Raw genomic sequence first — 23,023 nt, 5'->3', positions numbered from 1 at the left:
TTATTTAAGTTATTGAGGGTGAAAGGTATTTAGATAATCTGATTTATATATCTGGACTGTGATATGTCATTTGTGATTTTATTGAAAGTATAGTTTTTCAGTAGAAAAATAGTTTTGAATTTGGGGGTTATTAAAATCTAAATTTTCATTTTGGAAGTTCACTGGTCTATGAGCAAAACTTTTTCAAATGATGACTGTATTTTATTTAATTTTCAGAAAGTAAACTACAATAAAATAGTATATTCCTATGAAAAAGTAGATATATTCCCTGAGCTAATATATGACTAAAGTGTCACAAGATTCTGTTCTCATATGTAACATATTTCAATTAATGCTGACAATTAAAATACCATTTAAACTTGTAAATGAATGTTTTCCTTTTTAATTATGAGATAAATTTTTCATTTGTTTACTTTTCCTCTTTAAGATGTACTTACAAAGATTTTTTTTACCTAAAAAAGAAGGAATGCTCTATTATTAAACTCATCATGTATACTTACAGGGCTTTTGGAAAGAATTTCTAAAATGCTTTTTAACTTGGTTTTATGACAATTGCTGATATAGGCAAATGTTGCTTTAATCACCTGCGATGGAAACCGAGGTGGATTAGGAGCAGGATCCAAATCCCTAACTGAGTTAAGGGAAAATACAGTCATCATGTTTATTTCTTTTAAAGCTCACCTCATTATTTAAGACAAATTTACTGCCATTGGCTAGGAAATTCTATAACATGTTTCAAGAAGCTGTGATAGTTGGCATCCTTGTCTTTTCCTTGATTTGTTAAATAATTATTTTTACAGGTAACCTATGAGAAAGATATGTTCTGTAGGGTTGGATAGATTTTCAAATATATGGAACATGTTTTCAAGTTCAGGAAGTTCTCTTCTAGCCACTTAATTATTTTTAAATTTTACAGTGAATGAGTGTTAATTTTCATCTTACAGTTACTCTACATATTATTGAAATAATCATATTAATTCATAAGTGGTGAATTACATCAATTTGATTAATGCTTATTCTGTTTTTCATCCACACATTTTTTAACAGCAGAAAATTAGCTATGTACATGATGATTTGTCTTACATGTTAATGTACTTGGTTTAATCATATAATGTTTAGGATTTGTACACTTATGTTAATGAGTAAAATTGAATTGTATGTTCCTTTCTTTTTTTTTTTAAAGAGAAGGTAATTTTAATCACCCCATTTTCAGTGTGGTGAGTGAAGCACAGTAAAATCAAGCAATTTATGGTAACCCTTATCACATTACTGATAATGATTCAGAAGTATTGCTTCCTAATTCTAGAGTCGCCTCTTTCTTATTGTGGTGATGTTTCCAGCTAACACAGGAGAGTCACATAAAATCCTTAAGTACAACTTCTGATCTGGCACTTACATCCCATATTTAAAAAATTTCCAGTGTTAATTTTTTTCTATTTATTTATTATTTATTTTATTATTATACTTTAAGTTCTAGGGTACATGTGCACAACGTGCAGGTTTGTTACATATGTATACATGTGCCATGTTCATGCGCTGCACCCATTAACTCATCATTTGCATTAGGTATATCTCCTAATGCTATCCCTTCCCCCTCCCCCAAGCCCAAAACAGGCCCTGGTGTGTGATGTTCCCCTTCCTATGTCCAAGTGTTCTCATTGTTCAGTTCCCACCTATGAGTGAAAACATGCGGTGTTTGGTTTTTTGTCCTTGTGATAGTTTGCTGAGAATGATGGTTTCCAGCTTCATTCATGTCCCTAAAAAGGACATGAACTCATCCTTTTTTATGGCTGCATAGTATTCCATGGTGTATATGTGCCACATTTTCTTAATCCAGTCCATCATTGATGGACATTTGGATTGGTTCCAAGTCTTTGCTATTGTGAATAGTGCCGCAATAAACATACGTGTGCATGTGTCTTTATAGCAGCATGATTTATAATCCTTTGGGTATATACCCAGTAATGGGATGGCTGGGTCAAATGGTATTTCTAGTTCTAGATCCTTGAGGAATTGTCACACTGTCTTCCACAATGGTTGAACTAGTTTACAGTCCCACCAACAGTGTAAAATCATTCCTATTTCTCCACATCCTCTCCAGCACCTGTTGTTTCCTGACTTTTTAATGATCGCCATTCTAACTGGCATGAGATGGTATCTCATTGTGGTTTTGATTTGCATTTCTCTGATGGCCAGTGATGATGAGCATTTTTTCATGTGTCTTTTGGCTGCATAAATGTCTTCTTTTGAGAAGTGTCTGTTCATATCCTTTGCCCACTTTTTGATGGGGTTTGTTTTTTTTCTTGTAAATTTGTTTGAGTTCTTTATAGATTCTGGATATTAGCCTTTTGTCAGAAGAGTAGATTGCAAAAATCTTCTCCCATTCTGTAGGTTGCCTGTTCACTCTGGTGGTAGTTTCTTTTGCTGTGCAGAAGCTCTTTAGTTTAATTAGATCCCATTTGGCAAGTTTGGCTTTTGTTGCCATTGCTTTTGGTGTTTTAGACATGAAGTCCTTGCCCATGCCTGTGTCCTGAATGGTATTGCCTAGATTTTCTTCTAGGGTTTTTATGGTTTTAGGTCTAACATTTAAGTCTTTAATCCATCTTGAATTGATTTTTGTATAAGGTGTAAGGAAGGGATCCAGTTTCAGCTTTCTACATATGGCTAGCCAGTTTTCCCAGCACCATTTATTAAATAGGAAATCCTTTCCCCATTTCTTGTTTTTGTGAGGTTTGTCAAAGATCAGATGGTTGTAGATGTGTGGTATTATTTCTGAGGGTGTATGTTCCTTTCTTACCTGAGTCATGTCTCTTTCATATGTTTAGGTTACATTAGCTTCATGGGAAGAGTTGGAATGTAAATTATCTTTTTTTAGTCTGGTATTACAAGATTTTTAAATTACTGGTTGAAATTTTAAAATATAGGATTCTTCAGATATTTATGAACCAATTGTAAGAAGTTACATGGTTAATTTTATATAGATGGTTTATTATATATAACTTTTCAAGTTTATAAATTAATTTTGTAATTGGAATTTTCTAGTTAACTTTATAATCTATTTTATCCTGAACTGTATTCCTATTTTAATTTTTAATTTTTATTTGTGCCTTCCTTACTTTTTAATTTATGTCTGATTAAATTTGCCAGTGTTATTTTATTTCTTTATGCTTATTCATTCATTCATTTAAAAGTATTTATATGCATTTTGAATTGGAGTTATCAAATAATAAACTTCTTACTTTCCATGCTTTCTATTGTATGTTTGTAGTCTATTTTATTAATTTCTGCAAATATTTTATTTATTTACTTTCTCCTGTATTCTCCATTCCGTTTCTTTGTGCTTAAGTAGGTTTCTGGGCTTGTTTATTTTCGGATTTTATTGTTTTCTGATAAAAAAAATTTACAGAATATACTTTACTCTTTCTATAGAAGTTTCATTGCTACCAGAATTGCTAGAATTCTACTAGAATCGATATGTAGTGTTTTGTTTATTATTCATTTCTGAGAATTATTCAGTTTTCCAATATGACATCTTCTTTTTTCATAAATTATTTACAAGCATGTTTTTAAATCTTCATTTTTAAAATCTTTACTATAGTATACATGTGTGGATGTAAACATTTATGTATTACATTAAATCTCAACTGTACATATAAAGGTTATATGTTAAAAAACCATATATTTTAAAAATGCTCACTAGAAGAAATTATTTTTAATCTTCAACTCATTGTTTTGTCTTTTACTATATGTTATTTTCTAATAGATGATATAATCTTCCCTATTTAAGGAAGACTCGTTATCTGAATTTTTCTCATTTTATTTTTTATTATGTAAATTCATTTAAGTGGATTAATACCTCTTAGGTCCTTAATATTTTCTCTTTTATACTGAATTTTGGGTAGATTATAGCTACTAAAATGAGTCCAATCATTCTAGAATTTACTTTACATTATGTGATAAACAGTAAAACCCCTAGAAAGCCATCACCACTAGATTCATTACAAATGATTTACCATGCCTCACTCTGGAATGAAGTTGGCAATAGACTTAATATAGTGATTTTTTACCTCTTATCGATCAATCAGTACCACCCAAAGACCTATGTTAGTATGAACAGAAATATTACCTTTTTTTTTAACTAAACAATCAGTTATGTTCATACCCCAACAGTTAGTTTACTGTTAATTCCACAGAATCTATACCATGACATCATGGATGGTTTGGTCTTAGATTATTTTTATTAGTGCTATTCATGTATCTTCTATACCAGGAGAAATATCTTGTTTTAATTTGCACTGCTTTAGGGGTCCACCAAGATACTTTATCAATGAAACATGATTCCAAATAAGACACTGAATTAACATACAGGATGGAGTCTTTTAGTGTTGATGTAGGATATATTCTTCAATTTTCTAGTAGTTTTGACTTTGGTGTTGTAAAATCTACTTTTTCCTTCTAATGACAATGAAATGACAGGTGCAGATGCTTCTTCAATTTTTAACTCATTATATTAAAATAAGTTATCCACTGTGAAAACTATTTCTCGTTGACATGAAAGAAGACATCCGTCTATTTAACACTATTGTGGAAGGCATGGAGATTTGCTCATTGAAGTCCAAGACAATTTCATTTTATTTTCATTATTTATGATACATTTTTTGAATATTTAAGACAGGCTCTTGATCTTGGAGTTTTGCTAAAATTTAAAATGCAGAGGGAAATGTGGGTTGCTCTCTATGGAACAAAACCATAATGCATGTTCTTCATTCTCAGATAAAATCTGAAGGTGAGAAAAGAGCAACTAGCACTGCGATCCCACCTTTCCGTCAGGTGCACCATCAACTTTATTGTACTTAATCCTTATTATAGCCATTTTAGAGTGGTAATATTAGTATCTTCAAGATTAGAAAAATATTGAGAAAAGTTAACCGTCCTATCCAATTCACAAGACTTATAAGTGGTGGAACTGTTATTTGAAGCAATACTTTCCATGTTTCAAGTCTGTATCCTTCTTTAAAGATTCTGCCTTTCAGCCAGGTGCGGTGACTCATGCCTGTAATCCCAACACTTTGGGAGGCTGAGGTAGGTGGACCGCTTAAGGTCAGGAGTTCGAGACCAGCCTGATCCACATGGTGAAACTCCGTCTCTACTAAAAACACAAAAAATTAGTCGGGCGTGGTGGCACACACCTGTAGTTGCAGCTACTCAGGAGGCTGAAGCAGGAGAAATGCTTGAACCCAGGGGGCGGAGGTTGCAGTGAGCCAAGATTGTGCCACTGCACTCCAGCCTGGGTGACACAGCAAGAATCAGTCAAAAAAAAAAAAAAGCCTTTCTTTCACTCAGAGTCTAAGAATGTATATTTTTTTTGCTCTTAATGTACATTAAATTAATTCTAAAACTGCCATGAGATTCCTGCCTTTCTCAGAAAAATCTATTGGAGAAGTTTAGAACAGCTTCCCCCCTATGAGAACTAATGGTGATTCACCTTCCTTGTGTAAGATTTGTTGCTGACTCCTCTCTTTAAGCATTTCAGTGGCTCCTTAGAAGCCACAAAATTATAGCTTTTAAATTGCCAATGTCACATTAAAAGAATCAGTAGTTCTGGAAATGGCATGCCAACATTTTCCCAATAATTATTGATAATTATTTTATTATTGAAATGGTTTTCTTTGGGAAGATATGAACCTGTGATTCAATTTAATTATTAGGAAGAGTTTTTTCAAGTGTGTGCACACACACATGGAAACATATACACATGAATAATATTTACATATACTATGGCTCTCATTTTACTATGTAGTGATTATTTGATAAAATAATATTCTACCTGGTGCAGATTTTATTGAGATTGCTTCACTTTCTCCCACATCAGAAATTTTCTCTTGAAGTACTCAAAATATTGAAAATTTCTTTAGATGTTGCCCCAAAATTATTCAAGCTAACTAATCTATAGATTTGTAGCAAGCACATTTCCTTTTTTAAAAAAATCACTTCATTTTCTAATATTCTAATACATTACAAATTCTCTTTAATTCCTTAAAATCCATCAGACTCACAATCCCACTTGAGTTTGTCTGAAAGGACCCTTCTTATTATTGAAAGTGATGCATCCTGATCCAAAGGCATTAACTGATTTAACATAGAACAATTCTCTTGAGTTTTCTTAGAATCAGAGTCACTCAAGTTGTGAAGCCACTTCCAATGTCAGCTGCTATCTACAAAGTTTGAAGTCCTTCCACCAGGAAAATAGGGACTCTTAGGTTATGGACAACACACTGCTTCAATTCATGGGCTCAAATTAATAAAAGAACTTTCCTTATGTGGAACAGAAATTTATCTGCAGGACCACTCAACATGCTATTACTCTTAGCTTTTATAAAACAAAGCTATCCCTATGTCTTCATGAATGCCTTTTCATTTTTAAAGCCAAAATTTATTTGTTTCCTAAATAAGAAAACTCAAGTGGTAATTTTTGTATCCTTAAAAATAAAATAATTCTTTTTTAATCTTATTCCTGAAAACATGACTTTATTTCTGCAATTCTCTTCTTCCCTCCTTCTCAATAGGGATTCCCTTATACCTATATGCTATTTCTGGAGGTCTCAGGTTTTGGCATTTTTGAATGGGTGTAATATTTTCTATATAATAATATTTAGCACTAATACATGGTATCACTTGAGATTTTTTTCTAAACTTTACGCTTTGTTGTATATATAATATCTATTTTAATTTTCCCAGCATTCCTTTGAGTAACCTTTTATTGCCACTACATCTAACTAAAAAGGAGAAATTAGAACATGGAACAGAATGATCTGTAATGTATGACAAATGTTTCTTCATAATAACCTAAGGGTTAGGCTACAATTTACATTTTTGGACTCCCTGTATTGCCACAGCCAGGACACCAAATCTTTCTACCTCCAGCTCTATCCAACGCTGAAATTTAGGACTCAGCAGTACAGGCACTCCAGCTCTGTCCACACCCATGCCAACAGCTCCCTTGATCTATGGATCGGTAAGTGGTACTGTGGTCCAGCCTAGGTTAAATGGATCTGGAAGAAGTTTCACATCAGCCCTGGAATGAGCTTGGAGTCTTTTAGTTATGGCATTTTGGGGACATGTTTAGACAAGAGAATGTACTTTTTATAGGTCTGAAAATCACTTAGAAAATTTCCTAAATTCAGAAGATATGTCATTTTAAAGACAAAGGTCTTTTAAGCAGCTTAGTGTTTAGTGCCCACAGCACAATAAGGTAAGCAAATTTGGAAAATATTTGGCCTACAATCTGCTTAAGAGTAGTTTCTTTTGAAAAGGCTTTATGAAGGTTGTCATTTTAGGACCAAATTTTAATGGAATATGAAAGTATGAACTCTTCCCTTTTATCAAAATAATCTTAAAATTACTAGGAGATTAAAAATAATTCAGTGAAAAAAAGTCTGTAACAAAGCTTGTCAGGGCATAGGATCTAGCATCTCTAAAAAAGGCTAAACTGATTTGGTGGATAGGATTCAGGACTCTGGCATACTCGACAACAAACATTGCTTCTTCTTCTTCTTGACAAGGATGGACGTAGAACTACTCTAGGAAATTCCTCAAACACTGCCAAGTACTTCATGGCTGAAAGCCAAATATTCAGGTATTTAATAACACTGATTTCTTAGCTAGGGTTAAACCCTGTGGGTAGATGATTGGAGTCAGCATTTTCTCTTTTGGTTTCTAAATTGTGTTTTTGTTATTTCTCTCTCTGAATTTAGTCCCCCTGGGATTACAGGAGTGTTGAAGAAATGTTGTGACACATCAGAACACCGCGAAATACATGGACACTTTCAAATCATGGAAGACTCAAGGTAAGACACCTACTTGGTAGGATAGTCTTCTTGTCCACCTTGCATCCCACAAGCTAATTTTCACTAGACCATCTACTATAACTTTGGAGGAATAGTTGTCAAAGATGGCAGGGCTATGTTTTCTGGGAGCTACATCAGTTGTTGCTGATCATCAACAGAATTTTACCTCCTAAGATCACACACTTCGTGGTCTCCATCATCAGGTGTAGATTGCTGGGGCCACTGGCCATACCATTTAGCCCTGAGTTGACCAGAAGCAAAGGCCATGAAGCAGCCAATACAGAATTCTGGAGAAAAAAATGGAGAAAATAAAGAAAATAGCTGTGAATATTAGAACACTGAAAAGCATGCCTAGAAAATAAATAATGAGAAACTTATTGAAAACATAAAATTATACTAATAACTGCATGGTAACCTTGATATCTCAAGCATGCAAAACATAAATAAAAAGAGAGTTGGGAATCTCAAACTTTAATTTTCAAGTCCAGGTCTCTTGTAGCAACATGGATTGTTGAGATCTACCAAAAGAAATGTTGACTCAGTAGGTCTTGCATGGATGCAGGAATGGGGTTTCCAAGCATCCTGAGTCACCCTGACACAAGTGGTCCCGATCATACTCTGACAAGCAATGAAGATGCGATTGGAGTTTGGTGGTGAAACGTAAGGCCGGCAGATATATGGAGGGCATATCAGTCACTTCACTCACCCTATTTCAAGTGATTGTCTCTTCTGATAAATGACCCTCTCCTCTTTGTGTGCCAGGGCAACTGCTCTGTGGAAATGGGGGACAGTGGGCATCCTATTTGTGCGGACTTCTCCTTGCACAGTTCTTGAGCTCCATGGGCACGGGCTGCTCTGGTCTGCTCTCTGGGCCTCAGTCAAGTGTGACCAGTGCAGCCTTACATCCCGAGCCAAGCAGCTGTCTTGGGGATGCTGCTGGTTCAATACATGTTGGCCTCAACTGTGCAGGACCTGGCTGTATCCTGGGAATAGTAAAGCATCTTCTGTTGAAGGAGTCCTCTGAACCAGGTGGAACTTACATGCTATAAAACCTGATATGCACTATTTTCTTCTTAATTATTTTCCAGATATGCTGCATTTGGGGTATTGATTTTGTTTTTCAAAGCAACAAAAATATTAAGATGGCAGTGATTTGCCAAGCACTTTCATTTTTTGTTGTTGTTGTTTGCCTGTTGTTGTTGTTTTATTTTGTTTTGAGACAGAGTCTCGCTCTGTCACCCAGGCTGGAGTGCAATGACGTGATCTGGGCTCACTGCAACCTCTGCCTCCTGGGTTCAAGCGATTCTCCCTCCTCTGCCTCCCAAGTAGCTGGGATTACAGGCGCACATCACCATGCCTGGCTAATTTTTGTATTTTTAGTAGAGACGAGGTTTCACCATGTTGGCCAGGCAGATCTTGAACTCCAAACTTCAAGAGATCCACCCACCTCAGCCTCCCGAAGTGCTGGGATTATAGACGTGAGCCACCATGCCCAGACTAAATTTTTGTTTCCATTTTTGTAGTTATAAAAAATATTACTACACTGTTGTAAAACAAGTGTCACTTGCATCATACTTTATGGAATGTATTGTGGTGTTCCTAGTGACCTAACATAGTCTTTGCAAAAAGAAAAAAGAAACAATGTAAGTAATTTTGAATAAAACATACTCTTGCCATCAAATTAATACCATTTGTAACAGGGGGGCTTCACAGAACATCTCCCAAGCTATTGATTTTCTCAGAATGCCTCCTGAACTCTTAATTCAAACATGATAGAATGTTAGAAACTATAAATATGCTTTTCAACCAGTGTTGATATAGGGAGACTTATAGGCAATACACACTTTTCAAAGCATTTTATACAAAAATCACATGTAGTCATACAAAAGAGTAAACCTGGAACCCAAACTTTTACAACCATATACAAGATTTAACTCCAAATGCATCAAACACTTAAGTTTAAGATCTAAGATGCTAAAACTCTTAGAAAATAATATGAGAGGTAATCTTCATGACATTTGATTCAGTCTTTTTAAATTAGATTTGACACTTAAAACTGAAATAAAAAATTAATTAAATTGGACTTTCTAATTTTTTTAAAAAAAATCCCTTCTAGTTATCATGGGATGCTATCAAAAGAGTGAAAAGACATTCCACAAATAGGAGAAAATATTTGTAAACCATATACAAATGACATGGAATTAATATCTAGATTATAGATGGAACTCCTACAGCTCAAGAATAACAACAACAACAAAAAAAACGCAACTTAAAAGTGAGCAAAAGACTGAATAGACATGACAATAAATACATAAAAATATGTTCAACATCACTAGTTATTAGAAAAATAGAGATCAAAACCATAATAAAAGACTACTGCATATCTATTAGAATGACTATTACTTAAAAAATATAGAAAATCAGTGTTGGTGGGGATGTGGAGAAATTGGAATCCTGCTGTATTGCTGGTAGCAATGTCAAATGGGGCAGCTGCTGCAATTTGGTGTTTTCTCAAAAACTTAAACATAGAATTGCTATGAAATCCAGTGGTTTCACTTCTAGGTGTACAGTGGAAAGAATTGAAAACAAGCATTCACACAAACATGTGTACACTCGTGTTCATAGCAGCATTGTTCACAGTAGCCAAAGGATGGAGGCTGCCCAGGTTTCCTTCAGCAGACAGTTGGATGGATAGATGCAGTGTGGTGTATGCATGCAATGAATACTTTTTCCTTTTAAAAGTAGTGATGTTCTGATACATGCTACAATACTGATGAATTTTGAGAACATTGTGCTGGGTAAAATAAGTTATGCACAAAAGCGTCTGTTTTGTATGGTTTGCCTTCTATCAGCACCTAGATTGGGTGAATTCCTAGAGACAGAAGCAGAATGGAGGTTGCAGGGGCCAAGGGAAAGGGGAAAGGGGAGTTATCATTCCTTGGTGGGGGCTTTTGTTTGGGATGTGAAAGTGTTCTGGAGATGGATGGTGGTGGTGATTGTGCAGCATTGTGAGTGTGTTTGGTGTCACTGAATTGTACACTTGAAAATGGTTAGGATTCTAAATTTTATGTTGTTTTACCAAACTAAAAGCAAAAATGTCAGAAAACTTACATTGATATTCTGAATATGATTCACGGAACATCACGATCTCACCTAGATACTGAAAAACATGTGTGCACCAAGTGCAGGCAAATAGAAAATGTTTTTGGACAGTGACTTTCACTAGGAGAGGCTTTGCTGTGCCCACTTATTAGGAGCCATTCTCTACTGTTTACTGCACTAGTCCTAAAACTGCTTCCACTTTGACTTTCTGACAGAGTCCTTGTTTTTGCCCAGTATTATAAACTGAGTTACATAAAGGCAGAGCAAATGCTAAAGCAAACTGTCCAGAAGGAAGGACAGCAGTAAGTGGAGAGACGTTATTGCAAACAAGCACCTGGCAACAGCTGTGTTAGTTGGTAAGTGAAAAGGAGCTCATAGGCAAAGCTTGTTACACCCCAGCATGGCAGCTTGCTGCTTAGATGTGGGCTTTTGCTGTTTTTGTTGTGCCACTTACTGTTAACTGGTTGTGTGTTTCTAACATTTCTCATTTCAATTTATGGAAAATTGTTACCCAATTACCAGTTTTATGCAGAACATCTGATTAGCAGGATCAAACGGTCAACATTAAGCATATGTATATTATTTTCAACCATCTCCCTGCTCCAAAAATCCACTTAATATATTGTCCTGGGATAGAGGAAGTACCAGATATTAAACTGATAAAAGCAGATTCTACACTTGATCTTAGCCAAAAGACCTAGAAGGGATTCTCTCCTTTAATCTCTTGCACCTCAGATCCTTTAATCTCTTGCTCCTCAGATCCTTTAATCTCTTGCTCCTCAGACTTGGTAGGAGAAATTTTGTCTTAACATTCCTTAGCTTTGCTGAAGCAAGTCTTACACATGCATTCTTCATTAGCCTTATATTCATTATATTCTGATACTGTTTTTTATGCATAAAAAACAGAGGTAGGTTCTAAATAGTTTGTTTTCAACTCATTTTTCTAATAATCAATTCTATCAATTCAATTCTCTCCAAAATCATTTGGTAAGAATTCGAGACAATGAACTGGAACAAAAATGAACTTCAGTATTTCAAAAGAAATTTAATATGAATTTGCTCTAATCTATGCCCATTGTTGGACTTATTCCCCTTTGCTTTTTGGAAATTCTCTATGTTAACATACAGCATATTTTGCTCCAAAGGTTTGCATACCTAAAATTCAGGCTGGAATGCCAATTCTTTCTTTTCAGAAAAGGCTTATTTGTGTTTATCTAACTGACTCTGGTCAGTGATAGCCTAATTAACTCTAAATTTTGTTCTCTCCTGCTTCTTTTTTTACCTTCAGGATGATTCTGTGGGAAACAAAACAAAATAAAACAACAATATCTGAGTTTCAGGGGGAAAAAGTAGGGTGTCTCAATAGCTGAATGTGCATCTGTCATTGTTCAAGTCTCTGATATTCTGTAGTGCACATCTAGATCTATGTTGACATGCTTAAATTCTTTTGTTTCCCTTTTATTCATAAATGACATTCTGATTTGGCTCATTCATATCATATAACTAAGTTTGGGAGAGATATTCATATTGTTAGATATTTAGGGAGATCTATGATGACTCCTAACATCCTCCCTTATTTTAGGCCAAAGTTTACACTATCAAGTACATTATTTACAGTGTGCTTTTTTTGGCTCTTTCCTTATTTAATTGAAGATATATATATATATTAGTGTCTTAGTTGATTCATACCGCTGTAACAAAATTCCTTAGATTGGGTAAATTATAAGTAATAGAAATCTATTGCTTATAATTCTGGAGGCTGAGAAGTTCAAGATCAAGGTGCCAGCGGATCTGGTGTCCAATGAGAGCTCCCTGCTTCACAGATGGTGCCTTGTTCCTGCATCATCACCTGGCAGAAAGAGAGAATGTTGTGTCCTCACAAGGCTGGAGTGCAAAAAGTGCCAAACTTGCTCCATCGCACCCTTTTATGGGAGCACTACTCTTGTCCTGAGTGCAGAGCCTTCATGGGCTAATCACCTTCTAAAGGCCTCACTTTTAATACCATTGCATTGGGGATTAAGTTGCAACATGAATTTTGAAAAGGACACAAATATTCACAGTGATGTATTTTTGTTTTGGTGATTTTTAAGGGAAGGAGGTCATAGGTAAAAATGGTTTGATTTGTTCAACCTTTCTTGAAAGTATTGGATTTTTTAATGAAGTGTTTGCGAAGAGTAGCACATGAATAGTTATGCAGAAGTAAATTCTTGATGATTTTTTCTTTAGAATTCACAAAATTGTGACTAAGGCCTTAATCCCTCCACAGCCTGGTTCATCTTTCAATTTCATTTAAGATGGATTGTATGGAAATATGAATGAGCAATGTCCTTTTAGTTTTACAAAAGTTGTGCAGCTAACCTCACATCTGCTCATTGACTATGTTACTTGTGGAGTTTATCATATCTACATGCAGAGAAAATTTACTAGTGCTGACCTGTGTAATCACTAATTCCAACAAAAGGAAGGCTGGTCAATGAAGAGGTGAGAAATGCATAGAAAGCTGCCTTCTTTCCTCTGCCTCCAGCAGCCTGTGTAACAGCCAGGTTGTTAATATGAAGGGAAATGGTAAAATCCCTGCAGTCTCTGCATTATGGTGAGAATGAGTGGAGGGCGATCTTGGAGGCTGGTGTGAAACGACTTTGTAAGAAGTCAATGAGAAGCTTAACTGCATTGGAAAGGCACAGAATAAATTTTTAAATTTGCTTATTTCTTTTTCAAGCTGTTAATTTCATTTTTACCCTTTCTGTGCTTTAAAAAAAAAAGGGCTGATTACTTACTTTAATCTGTCTTTCCATTTAAATTTCCTTGTATATTCTCTTGAAAATCTTTCTTTTAAAGAGGTGTTCCTCACTCTAACTTCATAGAATGAGAGAAAAGCAAGCAAGAGCTTCACACTACTTGCCTAAAACCCCAAGCAGAAGAAAACAAGACAGATCCACACTAACAAACAGTGTTCATGCCTGTGGAGGAAGGTGTGCCCTTAGAAAGTGTCTTTTTGAAGCATCTTGGTTTTTCCTCTGACGGTACCAGTTGTAAACAGTGAAGCATAGATTCGTAGCTGGAGAGGGACATTTGGGGGAAGAAGATATTCTCCTGTTTCCATAAGGCACTTGGTAGCCTCTTGGAATGGAGAATACTGCCTCATTCTCTGAAATAAGCCATCCATGAACATTCTTTCAACAGTGATGCTCTACTCATTCTTCAAATCTCATTTCCAGGGTTTCAAAGAATCTCTCCAGCACCCTTTAGACCAGGCAAAGGAAGGACTCTTACTCTCTTTCCTGGCAACTTCCGGTGTAGCACTTGCCACGGAGTGTCCCTTAGGAATGAATTTGGACATTTTCACTTCATGTTTGTGGCTCATGCTGGAATACAGTCAGTATGAGAAAGAGATCTATGATCTTTTATTTGCTGTTTTTCTTAAACGTGGTATCTTGAATAATATCTGCTCCAAAATAATCGTAACTAATTTTCCCCACTGCAGGAATATTTTTAAAGCTGGGAAAGACATTCCTCTCCTGCAGTTTTTACAAGTATACTGTGGCCTCCACCTACTTTCTCCTGAAGATTCCTGCTTCCAGGGATGGGAATCACTCAGATGTTTATAAACAATGGGTCCTTTGCTCTTGGGGGAAAGCAAAAAGATCATTGAGGGTGTGCATAGGACTTGGAAATCAGAATGTTTTTCTAAGCTTCTATGCACAAGAAGAAATGCGTATCATTAAATTTGGCATACAATCAAGAAAGCTAGAAAGCAGGAGAGCATTCTCAGATATTTCAAGGAAGGTGGTGTGAAGTGTGAGATCCAGGGTGAAGGATGGCTCTCCTCTGCTCGAAAGGGTCTCAAGGATAGGCTAGGTTCCCTTGCACTGGCTGGAGGGTCCCAAAAACAAAAGGAAACTGACATTGTTTCCTCAGGAGGGTTACAAGCCCAGGAGAGCCGGGAGCTTTCTACCATCAGCTGGCTATGCTAAGGGGTGTGGATGCGAAGAGCAGAACTACAAGAAGCAAACAAATACGTTTGTGAGCACATGCCAAAGGTTTATGTAGCTCATTGTGAACTAATCATGAGAAAGACAAAGTTCAAAGAGAATTAAAGGAGTGGGGCTGGCAAGGGATGCCGAAATGCCATTACTATCTAAATTCCAAAACTGGTTCTTGTTCTCCAGGGAACTAAAACTCTGGCTATTAAGGTCATTTTCTCTAGCAGACTGTAAAACTAGGATGACATCCATGTTTATATAGATTGACTTCCAACTTGATAAGGTTGTAAAATATCTGAACTCTTGCTGTTGAGAATTGTTAGTTAAAAATACATTCCCTGAGAAAATCATAATGGTCAAATGAAGTCATGCCAGTTTATCAGAAAAGACTCAAATCAACTTACAGAAAAAATCTCCATCTCTCCCTCTCTCTCCCTCTCTCTCTGATACATCTATGATATATAGATATGCTATCTATGTGATATAGATATGATACCTATGATATCCATATGAGAGAGAAAGATATAAATACATACATAGATATAGATAAATAGATATAGATACATATAAATATGCAAGCCATCATGATATTTTCATGTTTGGATAAACATATTTTAACCGAAATTTGAACAAGATATCTTTGAGGCCCTAATTGACTTCAATTTTCCACAAGGAAAAGTTTTTGAAGGTACCTAGTTTTAACTGACAGTATGGTCATCTGATTTCTGGTATTTCTCCTGGAAATGTGGATGCCTCACAGTAAAATTAACAGGAGGAGTTGTCACAACTGTCACTGTGCCCCTTGCCCCACATATCAGTTATACATTTACAAGTAATTCTATTTAAACCCACTATTAAAACAATATGTCAATCAGAAACCTGGTTCAGGCCATTAGCACCTTCATGGGTAAAGCACTTAAAATCAGAAGTGATGACCGAGAGAGAGAGGAGGCCCTGCTACCAGGCTTTTTTCTAACCGCACCTGAGGTTGGGACCTGACCTGGGTCTTGTCACAGGACCTGACAGAATGCAATCCATCATGTAAAGACCACTGGACTTTTAACACTAATTACTTTTAGCAAAAAGCATTTGAAAGGCAAACATTTTATTCACATATATTTCCATTATCCCTTCAAGTTTTCTGTGTGATTTAAGATAAAGATAGACATGTTTTTTTTTTTCTGGCTTTGGCTCTGGTCGGTACAGTGAATTGCTGCTCAAAATGAACGCTATTAGGCTGCTTTCTTTTTTAGCCCACCAGGTATTTTTGAAAAAAGTACTCTGTGAAAAACAGAAACTGCAAGCAAGACAGATACCAGGATTAGGGATCACGGTGACTTCTACCATCGCTGGATACTCCCAAAAGGGTTCTCGAGACAGCAGCTGTGTCTGCCCTGCTTTGGCATTCTTTCCCAGGCATGGCGACCGTAAGTCAAAATGTAATCCTTAGCTGGTCATACAAGCCCTGTCATTACTCATATATGCAGATGATATTTTAAATTCTTCCAGTTTTTTTTTAGGGAGGAGTATTAAAACATGAGTAAAAATTAATTTGTGGGCTCACTGACAATGGGGTTTAATTTGCATTTTTATCCTCATTGATTAGCACCAAGCCCAGAAGAACTTGTGTTCATTAAGAACTTGTTGATTGAGCAGCTAGAAAGGGGCTTGTCTTCCATAAGGAGATCTCTACTCTTGTGGGTTTTACTCTCTAGCAGAGGGACATGAGCAACAGACAATAAAATAAATATTACATGGTATATTTGAACAATATAAATGCCACGAAAATGAAAAATAAAAGTGCAGAGCAAGGAAGAGAGATGAGAAGGCCAACTGAGATCTTAAATGAAGTGGGGATGGTGGGCCTCACAGAGAGGAGATGACACACTTGAAGAAGGTGAAGGGGCAAGCACAGATACTCTGGGGAATGTGCATTCCTGCCAGGACCATCAGTGCTAAAGCCGTAAGTGGAGGTGTGCCTGGCACTTGCCAGGAATAATGAGGAAGGGGAGGTGGCAGAGGAGAGCTGAGCTGCCAGGAGAATGGCACAGGACATTGGAGGGCTGATGAGGTCCAGATGACATGTGGCTTCACAAACCATTGCAAGGATATGGCATCTGCTCTGAGTCAAATGGAAATTTATTGCAGGATTTGAAAAAAGAGTGATGGCTGTGTCCAGTGGCTCATGCCTAGAATCCCAGCACTATGGGAGGCCGAGACAGGCAGATCACTTGAGCCCAGGAGTTTTAGACCAGCCTGTGCAACAGGGTGAAACCTCGTTTCTACCAAAAATACAAAAATGCATGGGCGTGGTGGCACATGCAAATAGTTCCAGCTAATCAGGATGCTGAGGTGGGAGGATCACTTGAGCTCTGGCAAGTGGAGCCTGCAGTGAGCTGAGATCACCACCACACTCCAGTCTGGGCAACAGAATGAGATCCTGTCTCAATAAAAAGAAAAAAGCGTTGATGTGGTTTGGCTCTGTGTCCCCACCCAAATCTCACCTTGTAGCTCTCTTAATTCCCACATGTTGTGAGAGGGACCCAGTGGGAGATGATTGAATTACGGGAGCCAGTCTTTCCCATACCGTTGTCATGGTAGTGAATAAGCCTCGAGATCTGATGGTTTGATAAGGAGAAACTTGTTTCGCTTGGCATTTATTCTCTCTTTGCCTGCTGCCATGCATGTAAGATGTGAATTTTGCTCCACCTTGACTTCTGCCATGATTGTGAGGCTTCCCCAGCCATGTGGAACTGTAATTAAACCTCTTTCTTTTGTAAATTCCCCATTCTCAGGTGTGTTTTATCAGCAGCATGAAAACAAACTAATACAAGAATGATATAATTTGGATTTACGTTTGAAAATACTTGAGACTAATCTGTGTGTGGATAGAGGTAGGAAAGGGGAAAGAAATGGAGATCCCTAGGAGGCTGTCAGTAATACAGGTGAGTTATTGATGACCACAACTGTAGTGGCAGCCAGGATCACAGACCAGGTGGAGTAGGGAAAATAGTCAGACTATGGATATTGTTTTGATGAGAGAAGCAACTGCATATCCTACATTTGGATCTGGAGAAGAAGACAAACTGACGAGTCAAGATTGAGGTTGAGGTTGCAGGCATGAACAAGTAAGAATGAAATTTCTATGCCTGAAATTGGGAAAAGCTGCTGCTGGAGCAAGTAAGGGGGTAGAAGAGGGAGTGTTGGGGTAAAATCAGGGTTTTTTGTTTGCTCCTGTGAGGTTTGGGTGTCAAGTAGTGGGAGTTTCAAGCAAGTTAAATATTTGAGGGCAGTACCTCAGGGAGATGTCTGAGATTGAGATATGGATTCTGCTGTCAGTAAGTATTTCTCCAACAGAAGTTTGGTATTGGGGAGAAAAGGAAAAACCTGGATCAGGGAAGCAGGGGGGGAGCCACAGTTCAACTTCATCTCATTGCAAAACAAAAAAGACACAATGGGAGGTGTACATGGGAAGTAAAGTAGATTAAGACATTCTTCTTGATTTCACAGTCCTTTTTTTAAACTACATTTACCTTCAAATAATATTTTAAGTGTTCAATAACCTTGTAATAATTTTTGCTAAGTGCAGCATTTCCAACTGTCATGTTTACCAGTGAATAACCTAAGTATATAAGTGGGACTGAGTTTGAATATTTACTGTCATGCATTACTTCTGTCAACACTAGCTTTCTAGTTCAAACTATATATTTTATCTTCAATTGATTATCTATTACATAATCAGAGAATAATAAATACCATGTGATTATTTCTTTGGAAAACTTAATCTAACACAAAGTATATTCTGCTGCTAAATCTGGTGAGAAACGATGCATTTGGTGAGCTTAAAGCAATTGAGAAAAAGTAAGAAAATATGGTAGACACCATTTTGTGGACTGTGCATTTTTAAATTTGCTACCATATCATTGGATTGCATAAATTGGAGAGCTATAAAACCTAAAAGTGTTTGTTTTTCCTAATAAAGTGCTGCCAGCTCTGTACTGTGATCTGCACACATCAGAGAATGGAGGCTTAAAAAGCAGCTAGAGAATGTAGCTCCTCAGAAAACAGAAAATCCTTCTGAAATTGTAAAGCTTCATTCCCCCTCAGAGTGGTGAAGGTCTGCCCCTGCCTGTCAAGTAGTTTGCAAGGCAGAGAGGTGTCTTGTGTAGTACAAAGACGTGTTCCTAATCGTGGCACCCACCGTTCCTAGAATATGCCTCAGAGGCCCCAGAGCTGAGTGATGGTAAGTGGCTAGCACCAGGAGTGAGCAAGAGTTGAGCACATACTGTCATGAAGGTGAACTTGTCCAAGGGAATACTTGCTTGTGGTGACATTTTTTTTCTATGCAGAGAGGCATACCTTGTTTCTGAAAAGAGCTGAGTGCTTGAAATTTTCTTTGAGCAGAATGTTTGAAATCATGCAAACTGAAGTGGCAAATAAGGCAAAACCATTCCCCACATGTAGAAAAATCAGCAGAAGCTTTCAAACATATGAGTTATGAAACAGCACAGCTGGGATTCTTTTTAAGCAATGTGTCAAGTTATTACTCAGAGCACTGAAGATGTGTTTTTGCTTCCTGCTACATTTCTCTGAAAAGCAGTTGAAAAGGACTGGCTGCCTTCAAAATGTGGAGAGAAACATGAAAAGTGGTATATGCTACTCAAGCAGGCATTTCTTTATTTTATTGAAACATTATCATTTGATATTCATCAAAATTACAATTAAAACACTGCCACTCAGCCAAATTATTGGTTATCTAGGTCCTTCTGTGAAATGCACTGGTAGGGGAAATAGTAAAATAGGATGATGGAGAGAATCCTTGATTTCAGGTCAGAAGACTTGGATTGCAGTATTTGTTCCATAAGTTTCTACATAAGAGAAGTTAATTTCACAATTTTAAAATAGGGACATAAAAACACATAGCAAAAGTGTAGGTGTTTTATGATGAATAAATGACAAAAGATTTGTGAAAATTACTTTTTATTTTACTAATTATTTTAATATTACTTTTTAAAATATAATCCCTCACACCCACTAGGATGACAACAAAACCAAACAGACAAAAGCAGGGAAAAAATTGTTGGCAAGAATGTGGAAAAATTGGAACCCTTGTGCACTGATGGTAGGAATGTAAAATGGTACAGCTACTGTGAAAATAATTTGGCAGTTTCTCAAAACAATTAAAGATAGAATTGCCATATGATCCTGAAATTCCACTTTTGAATATATACCGTAAAGAACTGAAAGCAGCGTCTTAACAAGATGTTTGTTCACCTATGTTCATAGCAGCTATTCATAATCACTAAACCGTGAAAACTACCTGAAGTGTCTGTAGACAGACAGAAGGTTGGATTTAAAAAAATGTGATGCATTTTTAGTTTTTCAACCTTAAGAAAGAAGGTAATCTTAAAACATGCTACAACAGAAATGAACTTCAATGACATTACACTAAGTGAAACAGCCAGCCAGACACACACACACACACCCTCCCATACACACACTCAAATACACACACAAACACACACACAAAATATGGTATGTATGTTTTCACTAATACAAAGTACTTATAGTAGCCACATTCATAGAGACAGAAAATAGAATGTGGTTACCAGGGGTTGGGGGAGAAGGGAATAGGTAGTCATTGTTTAATGGGTATACAGTTTCAGTTTGGAATTATGAAAGTTCTAGAGATCGATGGTGGTGGTGGGTGCAAAACAATACAAGTGTACTTAATACCACTGAATTTTACACATAAAATACTTAAGATAGTATATTTTAAGTTATGTGGATTTTCTTACAATAAAAATTGGATCAAAGAAGAACCAAATAAATGGAGACTTACTCTATGTTTATGAATAGGAAGTTCAATATTGTCAAGATGTTAATTCTCCCCAACATGATCTATAGGTTCAATGCAATCCCAGTCAACATTGCATTGCAACATTCAATGCAATCCCAGTCAACAATCCCAGTCAAGTTCATTTGTGAATATTGACAAGCTGATTCTAAGGTTTATGTGGAAAAGCAAAAGACTCAGAATAGACAACACAATTTTGAATGAGAACAATGAATTTAAAGGACTGACACTATCTGGCTTCAAGACTTACTATAAACCTATAGTAATCAAGACCTTGTGGCATTGGTGAAATAATAGACAAATAGATCAAAGGAACAAAACAGAAAATCACATATCTATATAGTTAACCAATCTTTTACAAAAGAGCAAAGACATTCAATTGAGAAAATACAGTCTATTCAACAAATAGTGCTGAAACAATTGGACATTCATATGCAAAAAAGGAGTCTAGACACAGACCTTACATCTTACATCTTTCACAAAAATTAATTAAAAATAGATCACAGAACTCAATGTAAAATTCAAAACTATAAAACTCCTAGATGATAGCATAGAAGAAACTCTAGATGACTTGAGTTCAATGATGGCTTCTTAGCTATGACACCAATGGCCCAATCTATGAAAGAAAGAAACATGATGGAAGTTTCTCCTCTGTGAAAGATACAGTCACTAGAATGAAAAGACTAGACTGGGAAAAATATTTGCAAAATAAACATATGACAAAAGACTCTTGTCCAAAATATACAAATAACTCCTTTTTTTTTTTTTTAACTTAGAAGAAACTTTAATTAGAAGGAAACAGGAATATTCAACGGACTCCCAAGACAAGAATATAGATGTATATCAGAAGCTGAGCATTGAAGTTGCTACTAGAGTCTCCCCGAGCCCTTATTGGATTCTCACTTCAGGAGCTGCTTTCATTATTTTGCCTCTCAGTTTCAAAATAGACAAAGAACTCAACACTCAACAATAAGAAAATGAACAACTTGGTTGAAAAATGGGCCAAAGACCTTAACAGACACCTCACCAAAGATGATAGACAGGTAGGAAATAAACATATAAAAAGATGCTGCACGTCAGATGTCATCAGAAAAGTGCAATTAAAACAACAATGAGACACCACTATGCATCTCCTAGAATGACCAAAACCCAGAACACTGACACCAAATACTCTTGAGGATGTGGAGCAATTCTCATTGCTGATGGGAATGCAAAATGGTACAGTCTTTTGGAAGACAGCTTGGAGGTTTCTTATAAAGCTAAACTTGGATTTACCATACCATCTACCAGCAGTGCTCCTTGGTATTTACCCAGTGGAGCTGAAAATGTATGTCCCCACAGAAAAACAGGCACGTGGACGCTTACAGAAGTTTTACACATAATTTCCAAGACTTGGAAGCAACCAAGATGTCCTTCAGTCGGTGAATGGAAGAATAAACTGTGGAACAATCAGACCATGGAATATTATTCAGTGCTGAATAGAAATGAGCTAAGAAAGCCATAAAAAAACATGGAGGAAAAGTAAGTGCATATTGTTAAGTTTAAGAGTCCAAAAGGCAACATGCTCTATGCTCCAACTTTATGACATTCTGAAATCGGCGAAACTATGGAAAAAGTAAAAATATTAGTGATGCCAGGGGTTAAAGGAAGAGAGAAAGGGACAGGCAAGAGAACAGAGGATTTTTAGGGCAGTGCAAATACTCTGTATAATACAATAATGGTGGGTACACAACCTTATACCTTTGTCCAAACCCACAGAATGTTCAACACCAAGACTGAACCCTAATGTAACCTGTGGACTTTGGATGATAATGACGCATCAATGCAAGTCATAAATTTGGAAAAATGTACCTCTCCTGGGAAGGAGTTGATAATGAGTGAGTCTATGCATGTGTAGGGGGAGGGGTTATGTGAGATATTCATGTACTTTCTGCCCAGTTTTGCTGTGAACCTAAAATTACACTAAAAGTGGGCAAAGGACGTGAACAGACAATTCTCAAATGAAGACATACATGCAGCCAACAAATATAAAATAAAGCCCAATGTCACTGATCATTAGAATATTGCATATCAAAACCACAATGAGATACCACCAGATGATTATTAAAAAGTCAAAAAATAACAGATACTGGCGAGGTTGTCAAGAAAAAGGAATGCTTTTATACTTTTGGTGGAAGTTCAACCACTGTGGAAGATGGTGTAGTGATTCCGCAAAGACTAGAGGCAGAAATACC

General features: G+C 36.5%; 1 long non-coding RNA gene and 2 pseudogenes across 1 annotated transcript in view; 1 reads left to right on the top strand and 2 right to left on the bottom strand.

The window, feature by feature from the left end:
• LINC01446 (long intergenic non-protein coding RNA 1446) overlaps positions 1-23,023 on the top strand; it is a 156,423-nt gene that overhangs the window by 24,139 nt on the left and 109,261 nt on the right. The window contains exons 2-4 of the long non-coding RNA NR_038371.1: positions 7,755-7,847; positions 21,566-22,310; positions 22,548-22,666. This is a non-coding gene — a long non-coding RNA (long intergenic non-protein coding RNA 1446). The remainder of the gene's footprint in view (positions 1-7,754; positions 7,848-21,565; positions 22,311-22,547; positions 22,667-23,023) is intronic.
• RAC1P9 (Rac family small GTPase 1 pseudogene 9) lies at positions 7,530-8,044 on the bottom strand (annotated as a pseudogene).
• Positions 11,469-11,657, bottom strand: RNU2-29P (RNA, U2 small nuclear 29, pseudogene; annotated as a pseudogene).

The sequence above is a fragment of the Homo sapiens genome, chromosome 7 (assembly GCF_000001405.40).
Source record: "Homo sapiens chromosome 7, GRCh38.p14 Primary Assembly".
Classification (NCBI taxonomy): Eukaryota; Metazoa; Chordata; class Mammalia; order Primates; family Hominidae; genus Homo; species Homo sapiens.
Note: the sequence above shows the minus strand (reverse complement) of the source record. Positions and strands in the feature narration are given on the sequence as shown.